Below are 19740 nucleotides of genomic sequence, written 5' to 3'. Positions count from 1 at the left end.
AATGAGAATGGGTTAATATTAATATATTCCTAATGCAATTTTAAAGTGCAATTAAAAATAGAGATGAAGATTTCAGGCATCTTCACAAGCTGTGAGTAAGGAATATTTAAAGCAATTTTAAAGGGGTCAGAAGATCTCAAGGGATAAAGGAAGTCTGAAATACCTCTGTGTGATTTAAAATTTTTATAAGGTGCATATATTTTTTTAATTAAAAAAAATCAAATAAGGGGAAAAAGTTGAAGGCCCAAGGCGGAATTGCACTGTCAATTGAGGTCCAGAGGAGGGCAGTAGAAATCCCCAAGGTGGCAACCCCAGAAAGGTTCCTCTCACCCGGATGAGGGCAAAGGTTCAAACTTGCCATGTGGGTGCTGGGAAGAGCTTAGGAGCTTTTCCTACTACTGATTCCTATAGATATGACGCCAGCCAGACATTGGAAGCAAGACAATCAAATATAATGGCGGAAATCAGAAAAGTGGTACAGGTTAATCTCTGGAGAACCAAGGAGAGAGAAACCAGGAGCAGCCATTCTTCACCAAGAATCATTACACAAGGGCCCAGGAGCAGCTCTCTGGGGAAAATGACCTAGTGAGATTTTTAGGGGTCTTGGGGACACAGCCCTGTTAAGTACCTGGCTAAGTCCTTGGACCCTTCCCCTCTGCTTTTTAAAGTGGAAAAGAATAAATATGGCCCTGCAGGCTCAAGATACAGAGCTGGGATTAGGGTGAGGGGAGTGGGACAGGCTCATGCAAATGCAGAATCAGATCCTGTCTTTATTTAAATGTTCAATATTTTGTTGGTCATAGATTTTTGGCATTAATTTTGGTTTTTAAATATCACGTTAAAATCTTATTTGATTACTGAATTTTGCAACACCCCTTAAATTTTGTGCTACAGGCAAATATCTCACTGGGTTTTACTCTAGTCCTGGCAACAATCAAAACAATAACAACAACAAATATGAAGCAAGAAATGGGGTTTTATAGTGTACTTATTATATACAATTTTTATCAAAATAATACCTAGAATTTCTGAGTGAAATCTATTATTACTAACATGCTAGTCATGTAAACTTGCAAATGAAATAAAAATCATATAAATCTATGTTAAAGCCAAAGAAAGTAAAGTGTTTTTGTAACCATTATGAATATGAAGTTAATGTTCAAATTAATTTGGAAGCTGTTTCTGAAATACTGGCTTTAAGATATTTGTCTACCATGTATCCAACACTAGGGAAAAAAAAAAACCTGATTTCTTTTTTTAAAAAAGGTGACAGATACATTCTTTCACTTTATAAGCCCTATTCAAATTTTCAAAAGCAGCTTATTCAAAAGCAATAGAATAACATTTTCTGATTTTTATACAGTTAAAAAGTATGAGCAGGATTATTTAGACCTTCAGGGTAAAACTGAGTTGTATTTTTTTTTTTTTGGTTTTTTATTTTTTTTAAGATGGAGTCTTGCTCTGTCACCCAGGCTGCAGTGCAGTGGCGCCATCTAGGCTCACTGCAACCTCTGCCTCCTGGGTTCAAGTGATTGTCTTGTGTTAGCCTCCTGAGTAGCTGGGATTACAGGTGCCTGCCACTACGCCCGGCTAATTTTTGTATTTTTTTTTTTATGGTAGAGAGGGGGTTTCACAATATTGGCCAGGCTGGGGGTTTTCCAATTAATGTTTAATTTTATTATATTCCAATGGCCCCAAATGCATAATTTCAAACACTGTCACCTTTATAGGACATGTTCTTTCATTTCTTTTTTACTCTTTATTTTATTTTTTTTGAGACAGAGTCTTGCTCTGTCGCCCAGGCTGGAGTGCAGTGGCGCAATCTCGGCTCACTGCAACCTCCACCTCCCAGGTTTAAGTGATTCTCCTGCCTCAGCCTCCCAAGTGGCTGGGATTACAGGTGCCCACCACCATGCCCAGCTATTTTTGCATTTTAATAGAGACAGGGTTTTACCGTGTTGGCCAGGCTGGTCTTGAACTCCTGACCTCAAGTGATCCGCCCACCTCCGCCTCCGAAAGTGCTGGGATTACAGCTGTGAGCCACCGTGCCTTGAACCCGGGAGGTGGAGGTTGCAGAGAGCCAAGATGATGCCATTGCACTCCAGCCTGAGCCAAACTCCGTCTCAAAAAAAAAAAAAAAAAAAAAAGTCATTTGGTAAAATTTGTATACAGAAGCTTATGCTTCCCTATGGTGAGATTATGTTGTCAGAGTATGACACACAATGGTAATGATGTCATAAATGCCTAGAACACTCTGAACTGTATAAATTCAGTAGTTACCTTAGTAGACAAATCATTTGAACCAAGTTGCGGACATGAATCTTGTTATTTGTGTCCTACTTTTGTCCATTTGGAAAAATAATTGCATGACTACAAACCAAACCAATGGATCTTCTACTACAGGTAGGTGCCTAACCTTAAAACTTGTAAATTATGATCTGTTACAGTATACATTAAAGTATTTAATTAGAAACGCCAGCTGTATTTAAGAAATCTGCTGTTACTTTTAGCAGTGTTAACATTAGTAGGTCTTCAAGAATTTCTAATACAACAGCTGATATTAAAAAACTTAAGCAAAATATAAGCATCAAGATGACAGACTTATGGTCCTCCTTTACCACCCTTCCCCACTCAATATACCAACCTGTCCCCACCAAACTAGCTAATACTATATAAATGAATCTGGCAAGGGACTTAACATACAGTAGGGGTTTATTTTTGTTTTTTGTTTTTTTTACTTCAAGTTCTGGGATACATGTGCAGAACGTGCAGGTTTGTTACATAGGTATACATGTGCCATGGTGGTTTGCTGCACCTGTCAACCCATTATCTAGGTTTTAAGCCCCACATGCATTAGGTATTTGTCCTAATCCTCTCCCTCCCCTTGCCCCCAACCCCCACAACAGGCCCCAGTGTGTGATGTTCCTCTCCCTGTGTCCATGTGTTCTCATTGTTCAACTCCCACTTATGAGTGAGAAAATGAAGTGTTTGGTTTTCTGTTCCTCTGTTAGTTTGCTGAGAATGATGGTTTCCAGCTTTACCCATGTCCCTGCACAGGACATGAACTCATTCTTTTTTATGGCTGCATAGTATTCCATGGTGTATATGTGCCACATTTTCTTAAACCAGTCTATCATTGATGGGCATTTGGGTTGGTTCCAGGTCTTTGCTATTGTAAATAGTGCTGCAATAAACATACGTGTGTATGCGTCTTTACAGTAGAATGATTTATAATCCTTTGGGTATATATCCAGTAATGGGATTGCTGGGTCAAATGGTATTTCTGGTTCTAGATCCTTGAGGGATTGCCACACTGTCTTCCACAGTGGTTGAACTAATTTACACTCCAACCAACAGTGTAAAAGCGTTCCTATTTCTCCTCCCCTCATCAGCATCTGTTGTTTCCAGACTTTTTAATGATCACCATTTTAACTGGCATGAGATGGTATCTCATTGTGGTTTTGATTTGCATTTCTCTAATGACCAGTGATGATGAGCTTTTTTTCATATGTTTGTTGACCACATAAATGTCTTCTTTTGAGAAGTGTCTGTTCGTATCCTTCGCCAACTTTTTGATGGGGGTGTTTGTTTTTTCTTGTAAATTTGTTTAAGTTCCTTATAGATTCTGGATATTAGCCCTTTCTCAGATGGATAGATTGTAAAAATTTTCTCCCATTCTGTAGGTTGCGTGTTTACTCTGATGATAGTTTCTTTTGCTGTGCAGAAGCTCTTTAGTTTAATTAGATTCCATTTGTCAATTTTGGCTTTTGTTGCCATTGCTTTTGGTGTTTTAGTCATGAAGCCTTTGCCCATGCCTATGTCCTGAATGGTATTGCCTAGGTTTTCTTCTAGGGTTTTTATGGTTTTAGGTTTTACATTGAAGTCTTTAATCCATCTTGAGTTAATTTTTGAATAAGGTGTAAAAAAGGGATCCAGTTTCTGTTTTCTGCACATGGCTAGCCAGTTTTGTCAGCACCGTTTATTAAATAGGGAATCCTTTCCCCATTACTTGTTTTTGTCAGGTTTGTCAAAGATCAGATGGCTTTAAATGTGTGGTGTCATTTCTGAGGCCTCTGTTTTGTTCCTTTGGTCTATGTATCTGTTTTGGTACCAGCACCATACTGTTTTGGTTACTGTAGCCTTGTAGTATAGTTTGAAGTAAGGTAGAGTGATGCCTCCAGCTTTGTTCTTTTTGCTTAGGATTGTCTTTGCTATACAGACTCTTTTTTGGTTCCATATGAGATTTAAAGTAGTTTTTTCTAATTCTGTGAAGAAAGTCAGTGGTAGCTTGATGGGAATAGCATTGAATCTATAAATTACTTCAGGCAGTATGGCCATTTTCACGATATTGATTCTTCCTATCCATGAGCATGGAATGTTTTTCCATTTGTTTGTGACCTCTCTTATTTCCTTGAGCAGTGGTTTGTAGTTCTCCTTGAAGAGTTCCTTCACATCTCTTGTAAGTTGTATTCCTAGGTATTTTATTCTCTTTGTAGTAATTGTGAATGGGAGTTCACTTATGATTTGGCTCTCTGCTTATCTATTATTGATGTATAGGAATCCTTGTGATTTTTGGACATTGATTTTGTATCCTGAGACTTTGCTGAATTTGTTTATCAGCTTAAGGAGATTTTGGGCTAAGATGATGGGATTTTCTAAATATACAATCATGTCATCTGCAAACAGAGACAATTTGACTTTCTTTCTATTTGAATACGCTTTTATTTCTGGCCCGATTGCCCTGGCCAGAAGTTCCAATACTATGTTGAATAGGAGTGGTGAGAGGGCATCCTTGTCTTGTGCAGGTTTTCAAAGGGGATGCTTCCAGCTTTTGCCCATTCAGTATGATATTGGCTATGGGTTTGTCATAAATAGCTCTTATTATTTTGAGATATGTTCCATCAATACCTAGTTTATTGAGAGTTTTTAGCATGAAGGGGTGTTGAATTTTATCAAAGGCCTTTGCTGCATCTATTGAGATAATCATGTGGCTTTTGTAATTGGTTCTGTTTATGTGATGGATTACATTTATTGATTTACGTTTGTTGAACCAGCCTTGCATCCCAGGGATGAAGCCGACTTGATGGTGGTGGATAAGCTGTTTGATGTGCTGCTGGATTCGGTTTGCCAGTATTTTATTGAGAATTTTAGCATCAATGTTCATCAGGGATATTGACCTGAAATTTTCTTTTTTTGTTGTGTCTCTGCCAGGTTTTCATATCAGGATGACGCCGGCCTCATAAAACGAGTTAGGGAGGAGTCCCTCTTTTTCTATTATTTAAAATAGTTTCAGAAGGAATGGTACCAGCTCCTATTTGTACCTCTGGTAGAATTTGGCTGTGAATTGTCTGGTCCTGGGCTTTTTTTGGTTGGTAGGCTATTAATTACTGCCTCAATTTCAGAACTTGTTATTGGTCTATTCACAGACTTGACTTCTTCCTAGTTTAGTCTTGGGAGAATGTGTGTGTCCAGGAATTTATCCATTTCTTCTAGATTTTCTAGTTTATTTGCATAGAGGTGTTTATACTATTCTCTGATGGTAGTTTGTATTTCTGTAGGATCATTGGTGATACCCCCTTTATTATTTTTTATTGTGTCTATTTGATTCTTCTCTCTTTTCTTCTTTATTAGTCTGGCTAGTGGTCTATATATTTTATTAATGTTTTCAATAAACCAGCTCCTGGATTCATTGATTTTTTTGAAGGGTTTTTCATGTGTCTATCTCCTTCAGTTCTGCTCTGATCTTAATTATTTCCTGTCTTCTGCTAGCTTTTGAATGAGTTTGCTCTTGCTTCTCTAGTTCTTTTAATTGTGATATTAGGGTGTCAATTTCAGATCTTTTCTGCTTTCTGATGTGGGCATTTAGTGCTATAAATTTCCCACTTAACACTGTATTAGCTGTGTCCCAGAGATGCTGGTACGTTGATTCTTTGATCTCATTAGTTTCAAAGAACTTCTTTATTTCTGACTTAATTTTGTTATGTACCCAGCGGTCATTCAGGAGCAGGTTGTTCAGTTTCCATGTAGTTGTGTGGTTTTGAGTGAGTTTCTTAAACCTGAGTTCTAATTTGATTGCACTGTGATCTGAAAGACCATTCGTTATGATTTCCGTTCTTTTGCATTTGCTGAGGAGTGTTTTACTTCCAATCACGTGGTTGGTTTTAGAATAAGTGCTATGTGGTGCTGAGAAGAATGTATATTCTGTTGATTTGGGTTGGAGAGTTCTATTAGGTCCACTTGGTCCAGAGCTGAGTTCAAGTTGTGAATATCCTTGTTAATTTTCTGTCTCATTGATCTGTCTAATATTGACAGTGGGATGTTAAAGTTTCCCACTATTATTGTGTGGGAGTCTAAGTCTCTTTGTAGGTGTCTAAGAGTTTGTTGTATGAATCTGGGTGCTCCTGTATTGGGTGCATATCTATTTAGGATAGTTGGCTCTTCTTGTTGCATTGATACCTTTACCATTATGTAATGCCCTTGTTTGTCTTTTTTGATCTTTGTTGGTTTAAAGTCCGTTTTTTCAGAGGCTAGGATTGCAACCCCTGCTTTTTTTGGCTTTCCATTCACTTGGTAAATATTCCTCCATTCCTTTATTTTGAGCCTATGTGTGTCTTTTCACGTGTGATGGGTCTCCTGAATACAGCATACTGATGAGTCTTGACTCTTTATCCAATTTGCCAGTCTATGTCTTTTAATTGGAGCATTTAGACCATTTACATTGAAGGTTAATATTATTATGTGTGAAGTTGATCCTGTCATCATGATGCTAGTTGGTTATTTTGCACATTAGTTGTTGCAGTTTCTTCATAGTGTCATTGATCTTTATATTTTGGTGTGTTTCTGCAGTGGCTGGTACTGGTTTTTGCTTTCTATATTTAGTGCTTCCTTCAGGAGCTCTTGTAAGGCAGGCCTGGTGGTGACAAAAATCCCTCAGTATTTGCTTGTCTGGAAAGGATTTTATTTCTCTTTCATTTATGAAACTTAGTTTGACTGGATATAAAATTCTGAGTTGAAAATTCTTTTCTTTAAGAATGTTGAATATTGGCCCCCACTCTCTTCTGGCTTGTAGAGTTTCTGCAGAGAGATCCTCTGTTAGTTTGATGAGCTTCCCTTTGTAGGTAATCTGACCTTTCTCTCTGGCTGTGCTTAACATTTTTTCCTTCGTTTCAACCTTGGAGAATCTGATGATTATGTGTCTTGGGGTTGCTCTTCTCCAGGAGTATCTTAGTGGTGTTCATTGTATTTTCTGAATTTGAAAGTTGGCCTGTCTTGCTAGGTTGGGGAAGTTCTCCTGGATAATATCCTGAAGTGTGTTTTCCAACTTGGTTCCATTCTCCCCGTCACTTTCAGGTGCACCAATCAATCGTAGGTTTGGTCTTTTCACATAGTCCCATATTTCTTGGAGGCTTTGTTCATTTTGTTTTTCATTCTTTTTTCTCTAATCCTGTTTTCACACCTTATTTCAGTAAGTTGATCTTCAATCTCTGATATCCTTTCTTCTGCTTGATTGATTTGTCTATTGATACTTGTATATGCATCACGAAGTTCTCGTGCTGTGTTTTTCACCTCCATCAGGTCATTTATGTTCTTCTCTAAATTGGTTATTCTAGTTAGCCATTTCTGTAACCTTTTATCAAGGTTCTTAGCTTCCTTGCATTTGGTTAGAACATGCTCCTTTAGCTCAGAGGAGTTTGTTATTACCCATCTTCTGAAGTCTACTTCTGTCAATTCATCAAACTCATTCTTTGTCTAGTTTTGTGCCCTTGCTGGAGAGGAGTTGTGATCATTTGGAGGAGAAAAGACATTTTGGTTTTTGGAATTTTCAGCATTTTTGTGCTGGGTTTTCCTCATCTTTGTGGATTTATCTACCTTTGATCTTTGAGGCTAATGACCTTTGGATGGGGTTTTTGTGTGGGGGTCCTTTTTGTTGATGTTGATATTATTGCTTTCTGTTTCTTAGTTTTTCTTCTAACAATCAGGCCCCTCTTCTGCAGGTCTGCTGCAGTTTGCTGGAGGTCCACTCCAGACCCTATTTGCCTGGGTATCACCAGCGGAGGCTGCAGAACAACAAAGATTGCTGCCTGCTCCCTCCTCTGGAAGCTTTGTCCCAGAGGGGCACTAGCCTGATGCCAGCCAGAGCTCTCCTGTATGAGATGTCTGTTGACCCCTGCTGGGAGGTCTCTCCATCCGGGAGGCACGGGAGTCAGGGACCCACTTGAGGAGGCAGTCTGTCTCTTAGCAGGTCTGTGCTGGAAGAATCCTCCTTGTCAGAATCCACTGCTCTCTTCAGAGCTGGCAGGCAGGAATGTTTAAATCCGCAGAAACTGTGCCTACAGCCACCCGTTCCCCCAGGTGCTCTGTCCCAGGGAGGTGGGAGTTTTATCTGTAAGCCCCTGACTGGGGCTGTTGCCTTTCTTTCAGAGATGCCCTACCCAGTGAGGAGGAATCTAGAGAGGCAGTCTGGCCACAGTTGCTTTGCAGCGCTGTGGTGAGTTCCACCCAGTCCGAACTTCCTGGCCTCCTTAGCACTGTCAGGGGGAAAAGTGCCTCCTGAAGCCTCAGTAATGGTGGACGCCCCTCCCCCCACCAAGCTCCATCATCCTGGGTCTACTTCAGACTGCTGTGCTGGCATCGAGAATGTCAAGCCAGTAGATCTTAGCTTGCTGGGCTCCATGGGAGTCGGATCTGCTGAGCGAGACCACGTGGCTCCCTGGGTTCAGCCCCCTTTCCAGGAGAGTGAATGGTTCTGTCTCACTGGGCTTCCAGGTGCCACTGGGGGGAAAAAAAACTGCTACAGCTAGCTCTGTGTCTGCCCAAATAGCCACCCAGTTTTGTGCTTGAAACCCAGGGCCCTGGTGTTGTAGGCACACGAGAGAATCTCCTGGTCTGTGGATTGCCAAAACCATGGGAAAAGCGTAGTATCTGGGCTGGATAGTACAGTCCCTCACTGCTTCCCTTGGCTGGGAGAAGGAGGCCCCTGGCTCCTTGCACTTCCCAGGTGAGGCAATGCCCCACTCTGCTTCTGCTCGCCCTCCTTGGGCTGCACCCATTGCAGTCCCAATGAGATGAACTGGGTACTCCTAAGTAGTTCCAGTGAGATGAACTGGGTACCTCAGTTGGAAATGCAGATATCACCCACCTTCTGCATTGGTCTCGCTGGGAGCTGCAGACCAGAGCTGTTCCTATTTGGCCATCTTGCCAGATCTCCAGCATATAGTAGGTTTTTAACAGAGGTTTGTTTTTATCACATCCTTTTTCAATTACACACACACATTCACACACACGTTAACACTCAAGTACACTTATACATGCAAGACACACACACACAGATTCAAAAACCTGGGTAATGTGATAAGCAAGCCAAGATTCAGGGATAACCCAGGTAATGGTATGGATTAGTCAGCGATGCCTCCCAGATTTAGCTTCTGGACTGGCTGGATCCATGAGGTAAAAACATAACAGTGGTACAATTAATCAGGTTTAAAAAATAATTCATGAAGAAATGTTATTTTGATCTACACTATCAAACCACTATCAATGTGGAAAAAAACTTGGTTACTTAACACCTTCTCTGATTATACAATCTCTTTGCAGGAGATAAACCTGTTGAATCAATGCAGACAAAATTGAACTACCTTAGAAGAAATCTACTCATTTTAGTTGGTATTATCATCATGGTTTTTGTCTTTATCTGTTTTTGTTATCTCCATTATAATTGTCTGAGCGATGATGCGTCCAAAGCAGGAATGTAAGTTTTACTCCTTTAAATTAAGAGTGCGAGGTGTGTGTGTGTGTACATATAGCGGAGGTTTCATTGTTGTTCAGGTTACTCAATATTAACTTTAGACTTCTGAAGAGCTACCAACCTTTTGTAGGTGAATATTTTCCCTTAAATTATATCAGCTCTTAAATATTCTCTAGTACATTATTAACTTCAGCCAAAGTGTCTCTTGTTCAAGGTTCAGCTGAACTCCAGGACATTAATTGCATTATAAATTCAGTGCAGGAAAAGAGGGCATGAATATCCAAATAAGAGTGCGAAAATGAAGAGAAAGAGAGAGGGAATTGGGTCTCTGTTTTTCAAAGACAATAAAACATTTTGGATAATCTACCATTTTAAGACTTAATCACATGAAAAATTATTCACTGTTGTTGCTCTCATGATCTCAGTGCCTGCCTTTTATATACTAGTTCCCTAAAAATATCCCATTCCAAAGACTGGTGACTAAAACGTGGTACCAGTACTGTATTCCTTTAGTTTCAGAGGAATGTTATGAATTTAAATATGCACCGATAACTTGATGTTGTAAATATGATACAAAAACAATGACTTTTCCTACAGTTTTTTTCTTGTGATACATTATCAATCTGTGACTTTTTTATAAAAAGTTTAATTCTGAAATAAGTGAGGTTCATTCTCTCTCTCTCTTTCTCTTTGTGTGTGTGTGTGTGTGTGTTTCTCTCTTTTTACAGCAGATTTGAAATAACTTTGTGTAATTCTATATGTGGATTATATGGTTATCTAATGTGGTTAAATAGTAAAATGCTCTTAAGAAAAAGCATTAAACAAGAGTCCATATTTATAACCTTAGTTGTGGCTTTCACCACTCCAATTCTGTTTTTGTGTTTTTGTTTGTTTGTTTTTGAGACAGAGTCTCACTTTGTCACCCAGGCTGGAGTGCAATGGCATGATCTCGGCTCACTGCAACCTCTGCCTCCCAGGTTCAGACGATTCTCCTGCCTCAGCCTCCCAAGTAGCTGGGGACTACAGGTGTGCGCCACCACACCAGGCTAATTTTTGTATTTTTAGTAGAGATGGAGTTTCACCATGTTGGCCAGCCTGGTCTCGAACTCCTGGCCTCAAGTGATCTGCCCACCTCGTCCTCCCAAAGTGTGGGATTACAGGTGTGAACCACCACACACAGCCGTCACACTCCGATTCTTACTGTGTTCAGTTTTCATATTAAAGCCCCAAAAGACCACAGGTCTAAGCAGTACCATACGTTCTCCGATAATAGTAATAGGTCTCTTTTGTTTTAAATCATTATACTCCAAATTTTCTATACTTTCAGGGTCAAGAAAAAAGGCATAGCAGCCAAGTCATCTAAAACATCATTCAGTGAAGCCAAGACAGCCTCTCAATGCAGTCCAGAAACACAACCCATGCTATCTACTGCAGACAAGTCATCTGATTCATCGAGTCCAGAAAGGGCATCCGCACAATCCAGCACAGAAAAATTAATCAGACCCTCAAGTCTACAAAAGCCATCCATACCAAACAGTGCAGGAAAGTTAACTAGGCCATCATATCCAAAAAGGTCATCCAAGTCATCATGCTCAAAAAAATTAAGCAAGTCATCTCACCTGGAAAAGGCACATAAGAAAGGCAGCCTAGAAAAATTATGTAAGCTAGACTATGCGTGTAAGCTAGCCAGTTCAGATAAGCCAGTCAGGCCACCTCAGCTATTCAAGCCACTTTATTCATCTCATCCACAAAATGAAATCTCACCATCCAAGCCATTCGGTCCACAGGAATTGGCTAAGCCTCCCAAACATTTTAATCCAAAAAGGTCAGTGAGTCTAGGCAGGGCAGCCTTATTATCCAACTCTGAATTAGCTGAAACTTGTCAACCCTACAAGAAAAAACATCTTGTTGCCAAAACTTATAGGCCTTTGGTCAATGATATTTCTGAGGCAAAGGAGAAAAACACTCAAAACCTACATGTTTCAAGCAAAGTCAAGTCCTCTTCCAGGTCCTTTCGTAAGTTAGATTCCAGGAACAATGCATACGGTGATCATGTGAATGACAGTGATACGATGAAATATTATAGTGAGGTTGACAGTGATAAAGTTATAATCATTACGTGTGACAGAGGGTACAATCAAGTCACCTCTGAAGTAACCCTAAATGATTAGGAGCTCAACAAAAATAAAATCCAAGTGTGAAAGAGCAAACTTATACCAACTATTTTATGCTCATCATCCCTTAAGAAACCAGTAGAGGGAAAAATCACTATCAAGATCACCCATATCTGTCTTGGAGGCGATTTATTTTAAAAATATCAATAAAATGCATGACATAAATTACTATTGTAATTATTATTTCATTTTAGGGGGCACAAGGATCTTTTGATGTCTCTTACTTAGACCTGGTCACTTGGATAAGAACCATAAACATACACTCACACAAACCTAGAAAGAAATTGCAAGATGGGGCCGGGTACGGTGGCTCACACCTGTAATCCTAGCACTTTGGGAGGCTGAGGTGAGCAGATCACCTGAGGTCAGAAGTTCGAGACCAGCCTGGCCAACGTGGTAAAATCTCGTCTCTACTAAAATTACAAAAATTAGCCAGGCGTGGTAGTGGGCGTCTGTAATCCCAGCTACTCGGGAGGCTAAGGCAGGAGAATCGCTTGAATCCAGGAGGCGGAGGTTGCAGTGAGCCGAGATCGAAGAGCTGCCCTCCAGCCTGGGTAACAGAGCAAAACTCCATCTCAAAAGAAAAAAAAAAAAAGAAATTGCAAGATGGGTATCCTAGACTCTTCCTTCCCTAGGATTAGCTCTCAACTGAAGTCCTAATCCAATTATTTTTTAATGTTTATGTGCAGTCCTCACAGTTGAAGACTCTTTTTCTGTCATGCCCAGTGCTTGTTGGAAATAGCTCTGTGCTATGGACTAAATGTTTGTGTTCCCCCAAAATTGATGTGTTGACACCTAATCCCCTATGTGATGGTATCAGGAGGTATCAGGCTTTGGGAAGTAATTAGGTCATGTGAGTACCTTTCAGCCCTATATAAGGGTACTAATCCTTTATAAGGGACTGAAGAGACTAGAGTTCACCCCTTCCGCAATGTGAGGACACAGTGAAAAGACCCCACTTACACATCATAGAGCCGGCCCTCACTGAATACTCTTGTGCCTTGATCTGAACTTCCTAGCCTCCAGAATTGCGAGCAATAAATTTCGGTTGTTTATAAGCCACCCAGTTGATGGTATTTTACTATAGCAGCCTGGATAGACTAAAACATTCTGTTCGCTTGGTTCCGGCTGAGTTGGAGAAATTCCTGATAACCACTTGTTGTTGTTGTTGTTGTTGTTTTTGAGACAAAGTCTCACTCTGTCGCCCAGGCTGGAGTGTAGTGGTGTGACCTCGGCTCACTGCAACCTCTGCCTCCTGGGTTCAAGTGATTCTCCTGCCTCAGCCTCCCAAGTAGCTGGGACTACAGGGGCATGCACCACCAAGCCCGGCTAATTTTTGTATTTTTAGTGGAGACAGGTTTTCACCATGTTGCCCAGGCTGGCCTCGAACTCCTGACCTCAAGTGATCCACCTGCCTCGGCCTCCCAAGCTGCTGGGATTACAGGCGTGAGCCACCGTGCCTGACCCTCCTGATAACCACTTTTAACACCATCGTCTCTGGTGGCTGTTACCTAAAATGAAGATCCAGACTGTGGCACCCACACTTGGAGCACCATAACATTAGTCTAAGTGTTCTAAATTTCGTAACTCTCAACGAGGCTTTTCATTGTTTTTGTTACTCTTCAAAATGGTAAAAGAGTTTGCCCTGCATGCATTCTCCAAAGGTCTCAGTTGGTGGTCTACTCATCCACATATTTGTTCTACATGGCACCTCTCCACTCTGAGTCAGAAAGGATGGGAAGCCAGAGGAGAATCTTGGAGTTTTATCCTCTAGGTTTCCCATTGATGAAATGTTATCCTTCCCTTCTTCTAAGGGCATCATTGAGAAAATCAGGCAAAGTCCTGTATTCCCAGCCTATATTCTAGCAGAGTACAATTGTCCCCTATAACATCCAGCAGGCAGAATTTAAATGCCACTAGCAAGCATATATTGGTTGTATATTATTCTTCAGGTACTGTACTAGTCCCTTTATATTTCACAGGTCCTAAATTCACCTTCAAGTTTGCTGATTCACCACGAGGACTCATAAAACTCAATACTCATGGTTAAGGTTTTGTTAGAGCAAGATTACACAGACTAAGAGCAACAGGAAAAATATATCAGGAGAAATCCAGAGAGGTTAGGGACAGGCTTTTGAGTACTTTCCCATCTGGGGCCACATAGGATATGCTTTCTCTCTAGCAGCAAACTGCATTGACATGTGCAGAATGTCTCTGCCCGGGGAAAACTGTTTAAGTCTCTTCGTCTGAGACTTTTATCGAGATTCAGGCTCATAGCGACATCATGCTACATTACCAGCCAAAGCAACTGAAGCACAGGTTCACAAATGAAACCAAATGCACTTCATATAGGTTGATGTTTATGCAAAGCAATCCTGACAAGCTGATGAGGCCTGGTCCATTGCTCCAGGTGTATAAATCATAATCATCAACCATTCACATAAGAACATTCTGAAGGCCACATTTCTAGGGGTTGGCCAAAGATCAGTAATGGTTTCGGGTTCCCTTGAATACATGCAAGGACTGAACAGCCAGACCTGGTGTACTAACACTACATATCTTTTATTTAAACTTCAACAGTCCGCCAGTATATGGGGGATTAGATGAGTAAACTGAGGCTCTGGAACATACAGTAAGATTGCATCTAGTGATTGACTGAACTGAGATTTGGATCTATGACTGGCTTATGCTCAGTCATTCATTATGGTGTACTGCCTTCTCACTACCAGCTACTAGGATGCTGATTACTCACAGATCACCCAATCCATCTATGTGAGCAAAATCTCTACTTCACTTCATTTTTTTCTTTTTTTGAGACAGAGTTTTGCTCTGTTGCCCAGGCTGAAGTGCAGTGGTGTGATCTTGGCTCACTGCAACCTCTGCCTCCTGGGTTCAAAAGGTTCTCCTGCCTCAGCTTCCCAAGTAGTTGAGATTACAGGTGCCCACCACCATGCCCAGCTAATTTTTGTTCCTTTAGTAGAAATGGGGTTTCACTGTGTTGGCCAGGCTGGTCTCGAACTCCTGACCTCAAGTGATCCACCCGCCTCGGCCTCCCAAAGTGCTGGGATTACAGGCGTGGGCCACGGCGCTCAACCCCTACTTCACTTTTAATCAGTCTAAGCTATTCTTTCAGCCTGCAAGGGGCATATAAATATGTTTTATTCATTCAGATCTGACTTCCCCATCTCTGCTTCTACACAGTTGGTCCCCCAAGTCTTTACCCATAAAGCCATCATAAAATTACCAGACGGCACAAAGTAACTGCTTATGTATAAAAGGTTTCAGAAACAGTGTATGTATTAAAAAAGGATTGTGGGGGCCGGGCGCGGTGGCTCACGCCTGTAATCCCAGCACTGTGGGAGGCCAAGGCAGGCAGATCACTTGAGGCCAGGAGTTTGAGACCAGCCTGGCCAACATGGCAAAACCCCGTCTCTACTAAAAATACAAAAATTAGCCAGGTTTGGTGGTGCACACCTGTAATCCCAGCTACTCAGGAGGCTGAGGCAGAAGAATTGCTTAAACCTGGGAGATGGAGGTTGCAGTGAGCCAAGATCACACCACTGCACTCCAGCCTGGGCAACAGAGCAAGACTCAGTCTCAAAAAAAAAAAAAAAAAAAAAGGATTGTGGCCCAGCACTTTGGGAGGCCGAGGTGGGAGGATCATTTGATCCCAGGAGTTCAAGACCAGCCTGAGCAACATAGCCAGACCCCATCTCAGCAACAACAAAAAAGGATTGTGGGAGCTGCAGACTTGATTTCCTATTGGTACTACCTGTTTTAAAGCCTAGTCTTTTTTAAATTCACAAATAGAAAAAGTTTTCATCAAATTTTTAAACTGCTTATTATGAAAAATGTTTAAACATGTACAAAAGTAGAGCAAGTAGTATAATGGACTCCCATATAACCATTACTCAGATTCAACAATTATCACTACATGGCCAATCTTATTTCATTGGACTCCTATCCATTCCCCCTCCCATTTGTATCTGTAAAAGATAAAGACTTAAAAATACATACAAACAATACCACTATCTCACCTAAAATTAATGATAAGTGGGAGACGCGAAGGTAAAAAAAATTAATGATAATCTTTTATTACTGATTATCCAGTCTGTGTTCAAATTTTCCCATCCATCTCCTAATGTATTATAGTTGCTTTGTTCAAATGATGTTGATCAGTGTTTGAAAACATTTAAGATTAATTTGGCCAGTCGCGGTGGCTCACCCCTGTAATCTCAGCACTTTGGGAGGGCAATGCATGCGGATCACTTGAGGTCAGGAGTTCAAGACCAGCCTGGCCAACATGGAGAAACACTGTCTCTACTAAAAATACAAAAATTAGCCAGGCATGGTGGTGCACACCTGTAGTCCCAGCTATTCAGGAGGCTGAGGCAGGAGAATCTATATCTTCAACTCAGGAGGCAGAGATTGCAGTGAGCTGAAATCGCACCACTGCACTCCAGCCTAGGCGACAGAGGGAGACTCCATCCACCCAGCCCCACAAAAAAAAGACTAACTTTTTAAAAATTGGAATTGCAATTTCTTTTTTTTTGTGGGAACCTCCCGCAGAAATCAAAAATTGCAATTTCATTGCTCAATCTGGCTTCATATTTTAGGATGATATTGGAGCTAATGTGAGCTAGCCTGGAAAATAGCAAAAGTAGAAATTGTATGGTTTTCAGTTTACATTCTTCTAGTATCTTGATAGACAAAGCCAAATAATCTAAGCTCTTTTCTCTTTCCTATTTTGAACCTGGAGACATGTAATGCCTTAAAAGCTGTGAATATTAATATCTAACAAAAGTGACTAACTGCTAGTGATGGCCAATATAATGACATCTTAAGAAAAGTCATCTGCATGACTTTTTTTTTTTTTTTTTTGAGACAGACTTGCTCTGTTACTCTGCTACCCAGGCTGGAGTGCAGTGGCAGGATCTTGGCTCACTGCAACCTCCACCTCCCAGGTTCAAGAGATTCTCCTGCCTCGGCCTCCCGAGTAGCTGAGATTACAGGCATGCGCCACCACCCCTGGCTAATTTTTGTCTTTTTAATAGAGATGAGGTTTCACCATGTTAGTCAGGCTGGTCTCAAACTCCTGACCTCAGGTAATCCGCCTGCCTCGGCCTCCAAAAGTACTGGGATTACAGGCATGAGCCACTAAGCCCAGCTACATATGTTCTTTTTTAAACCACACTTAATTACAGAGTAGGAGTTTACAGAATATTTGGAGCTCATTAAATATGCAATTTTTTTTTTTTTTTGAGACCGAGTCTCACTCTGTTGCCCAGGCTGGGGTGCAGTGGTGCAATCTTGGCTCACTGCAACCCCCACCTCCTGGGTTCAAGAAATTCTCCTGCCTCAACCTTCCAAGTAGCTGGGATTACAGGCGTGCGCCACCATGCCCGACTAATTTTTTTTTATTTTTAGTAGAGACAGGGTTTCACCATGTTGGCCAGGCTGGTTTTCAACTCCTGACCTCAAGTGATCCACCCTCCTCAGCATCCCAAAGTGCTAGGATTCTAGGCATGAGCCACCGTGCCCAGCCTCAATATGAAAAATTCTAAGTGCATTAATGCAGGCTTCACACATAAGACCACTATAGGATATGTAACAGAAATAAATGTACCATAAGTCAGAGAAGAATTTTAGCACAAAAGGAAGGATGGAAGGAAGGAGGGAGGGAGGGAAGGAAGGAAGGAAAGGAGGGAGGGAGGAAGGGAAGGAGGATTGACTGATTTACCAGTGAAAATTTGGCCAAGCTAATACTTAAAATAATTAAGCCCTATCACTCCAATAGATAGTCTTTAATACTTCTTGGAAATGTCCTGATTTAAGTAAGAGAGTCACAAATTTCTCCTTCTTGGCCTTTTTGCAACATTGTCTTATCTCTTATGGTACCTTACTTCCTTCTCTCCCACTCTCTATTTTGTCTCCCCTATTCAGTAAGAACTATTCAGGGTCACGTGCTCAATCCATCCATTGCTACCTTACTTTTCCCTTCTCCAGAGGGCACTGTGAAGCCAATTTCAAGTGCGGCTCTTCCCTCTTAGACCAGTCCTGCTCCTTTTCTGTTGAATCACCTTTCTTACACTCATCTACTAAGCTTATAACCTGATCCTGGCTATGGGCCTGAAACGGATTATATTATATTTTGCTCCTTTTGTTCAGTACAATCCTTTCTAAAAATCCATTACTTTTTAAAAAAGCATTAAAAGGTCAAATTTTAAACATTTCTCTTGTATATTATCTACATGAAATTATATAAGCATAGAGTTAAAAGGATTCTTAGAGATCCTCAATTCCACCCTCCTGTGGGGAGAGGGGTTGTTCTGAAGAGCCGAAAGAATGTTCATTCAGCAAGAAGACTACTTTCTACCGGGGCTAGGGGTGAGCTGGCTGTGGGATGGTGCTGGGAATCACAGATCTTTGGGCAGTCACAATGAAGTAGTATACTACATGTGAGATGGTTATAGTGGTGTCAAGCAGGGACTTACTAAAAGTCTTCAGCTTTGTCAGTTCCCACAATTCTACAGTCCCTGCCATACTGTGTGCAATCTCTAAGAATTAGAAGCAACAAAGGAAGGGAAATAGAAGTAGGACAAAAGGGCCGGGTGCAGTGGCTCATACCTGTAATCCCAGCACTTTGGGAGGCCTAGGTGGGTGGAGCACCAGAGGTCAGGAGTTCGAGACCAGCCTGGCCAACATGGCAAAATCCCGTCTCTAGTAAAAAATGCAAAAATTAGCTGGGCGTGGTGGTGGGCACCTGTAGTCCCAGCTACTCGGGAGGCTGAGGCAGGAGAATCTCTTGAACCTGGGAGGCGGAGGTTGCAGTGAGCTGAGATCGCACCATTGCACTCCAGCCTGGGCTACAAGAGCAAGACTCCACTTCAAAAAAAAAAAAAAGGTCTGCAGGAGCTTCAGCCAAGTATCTCCATTGTAACCCATGTACTACTTTACAATTATTCCTGTGCTACTGGGGCCTTAGAAAACAAGGGTTAAGGCTGGGTGTACTGGTTCACACCTGTAATCCCAGCACTTTGGGAGGCCGAGGCGGGCGGATCACTTGAGGCCAGGAGTTTGAGACCAGCCTAGCCAACATGGTGAAACCCCGCCTCTACCAGCTGGGAGTGGTGGTGCGTGCCTGTAGTCTCAGCTACTTGGGAGGCTAAATCAGGAGAATCTCTTGAACCCAGGAGGCAGAGGTTGCAGTGAGTCGAGATCACGCCACTGCACTCCAGCCTGGGTGACAAAGCGAGACTCTGTCTCAAAAAAAGAAAAAAAATAGAAGGAAAGAAAAGGAAGGAAGGAAGGAAGGGGAAAAGATAAGAAAAGAAAAGAAGGGTTAAGCACGATTAATGAGTTTTGCAGTTATTTATATAATGCACAGAAAGGTCATAAACAAGGACTAACTATAACTTACATCTATGAACTTTCAGAGAGTTTTACTTGTTTAGAATTATTCTATTATGTGGCCGGGCGTGGTGGCTCACGCCTGTAATCCCAACACTTTGGGAGGCCAAGGTGGGAGGATCACCAGAGGTCAGGAGATCAAGACCATCCTGGCCAAAATGGTGAAACTCAGTCTCTACTAAAAATACAAAAATTAGCTGGGCATGGTGGCACGTGCCTCTAATCCCAGCTACTTGGGAGGCTGAGGCAAGAGAATCGCTTGAACCAGGGAGTCGGATGATGTAGTAAGCTGAGATCGCGCCACTACACTCCAGCCTGGTGACAGAGCGAGACTCCGTCTCAAAAAAAAGAATTATTCTGGTATATGTCTGAATCAAAATAACACATTGAAAAGATTGCTGAAAGAGATGA

General features: G+C 41.4%; 1 protein-coding gene across 1 annotated transcript; it reads left to right on the top strand.

The window, feature by feature from the left end:
• Nucleotides 2291-12084, top strand: CXorf66 (chromosome X open reading frame 66). The gene is made up of 3 exons (NM_001013403.3): nucleotides 2291-2403; nucleotides 9595-9748; nucleotides 11073-12084. The coding sequence occupies exons 1-3, from the start codon at nucleotides 2316-2318 to the stop codon at nucleotides 11914-11916; spliced, it is 1086 nt and encodes a 361-aa protein (NP_001013421.1). The 5' UTR covers nucleotides 2291-2315; the 3' UTR covers nucleotides 11917-12084.

This window comes from Homo sapiens, chromosome X, assembly GCF_000001405.40.
Source record: "Homo sapiens chromosome X, GRCh38.p14 Primary Assembly".
NCBI lineage: Eukaryota > Metazoa > Chordata > Mammalia > Primates > Hominidae > Homo > Homo sapiens.
The sequence above is the reverse complement of the archived record's forward strand: the minus strand, read 5'-3'. Positions and strand labels throughout refer to the sequence as shown.

Coding starts and splice junctions, on each gene's coding strand:
- CXorf66 (NM_001013403.3), top strand. CDS start 2,316: ATGAATCTTGTTATTTGTGTCCTACTTTTGTCCATTTGGAAAAATAAT. Junction 2,404..9,594: donor CAATGGATCTTCTACTACAG/GTAGGTGCCTAA, acceptor ATCTCTTTGCAG/GAGATAAACCTGTTGAATCA. Junction 9,749..11,072: donor GATGCGTCCAAAGCAGGAAT/GTAAGTTTTACT, acceptor CTATACTTTCAG/GGTCAAGAAAAAAGGCATAG.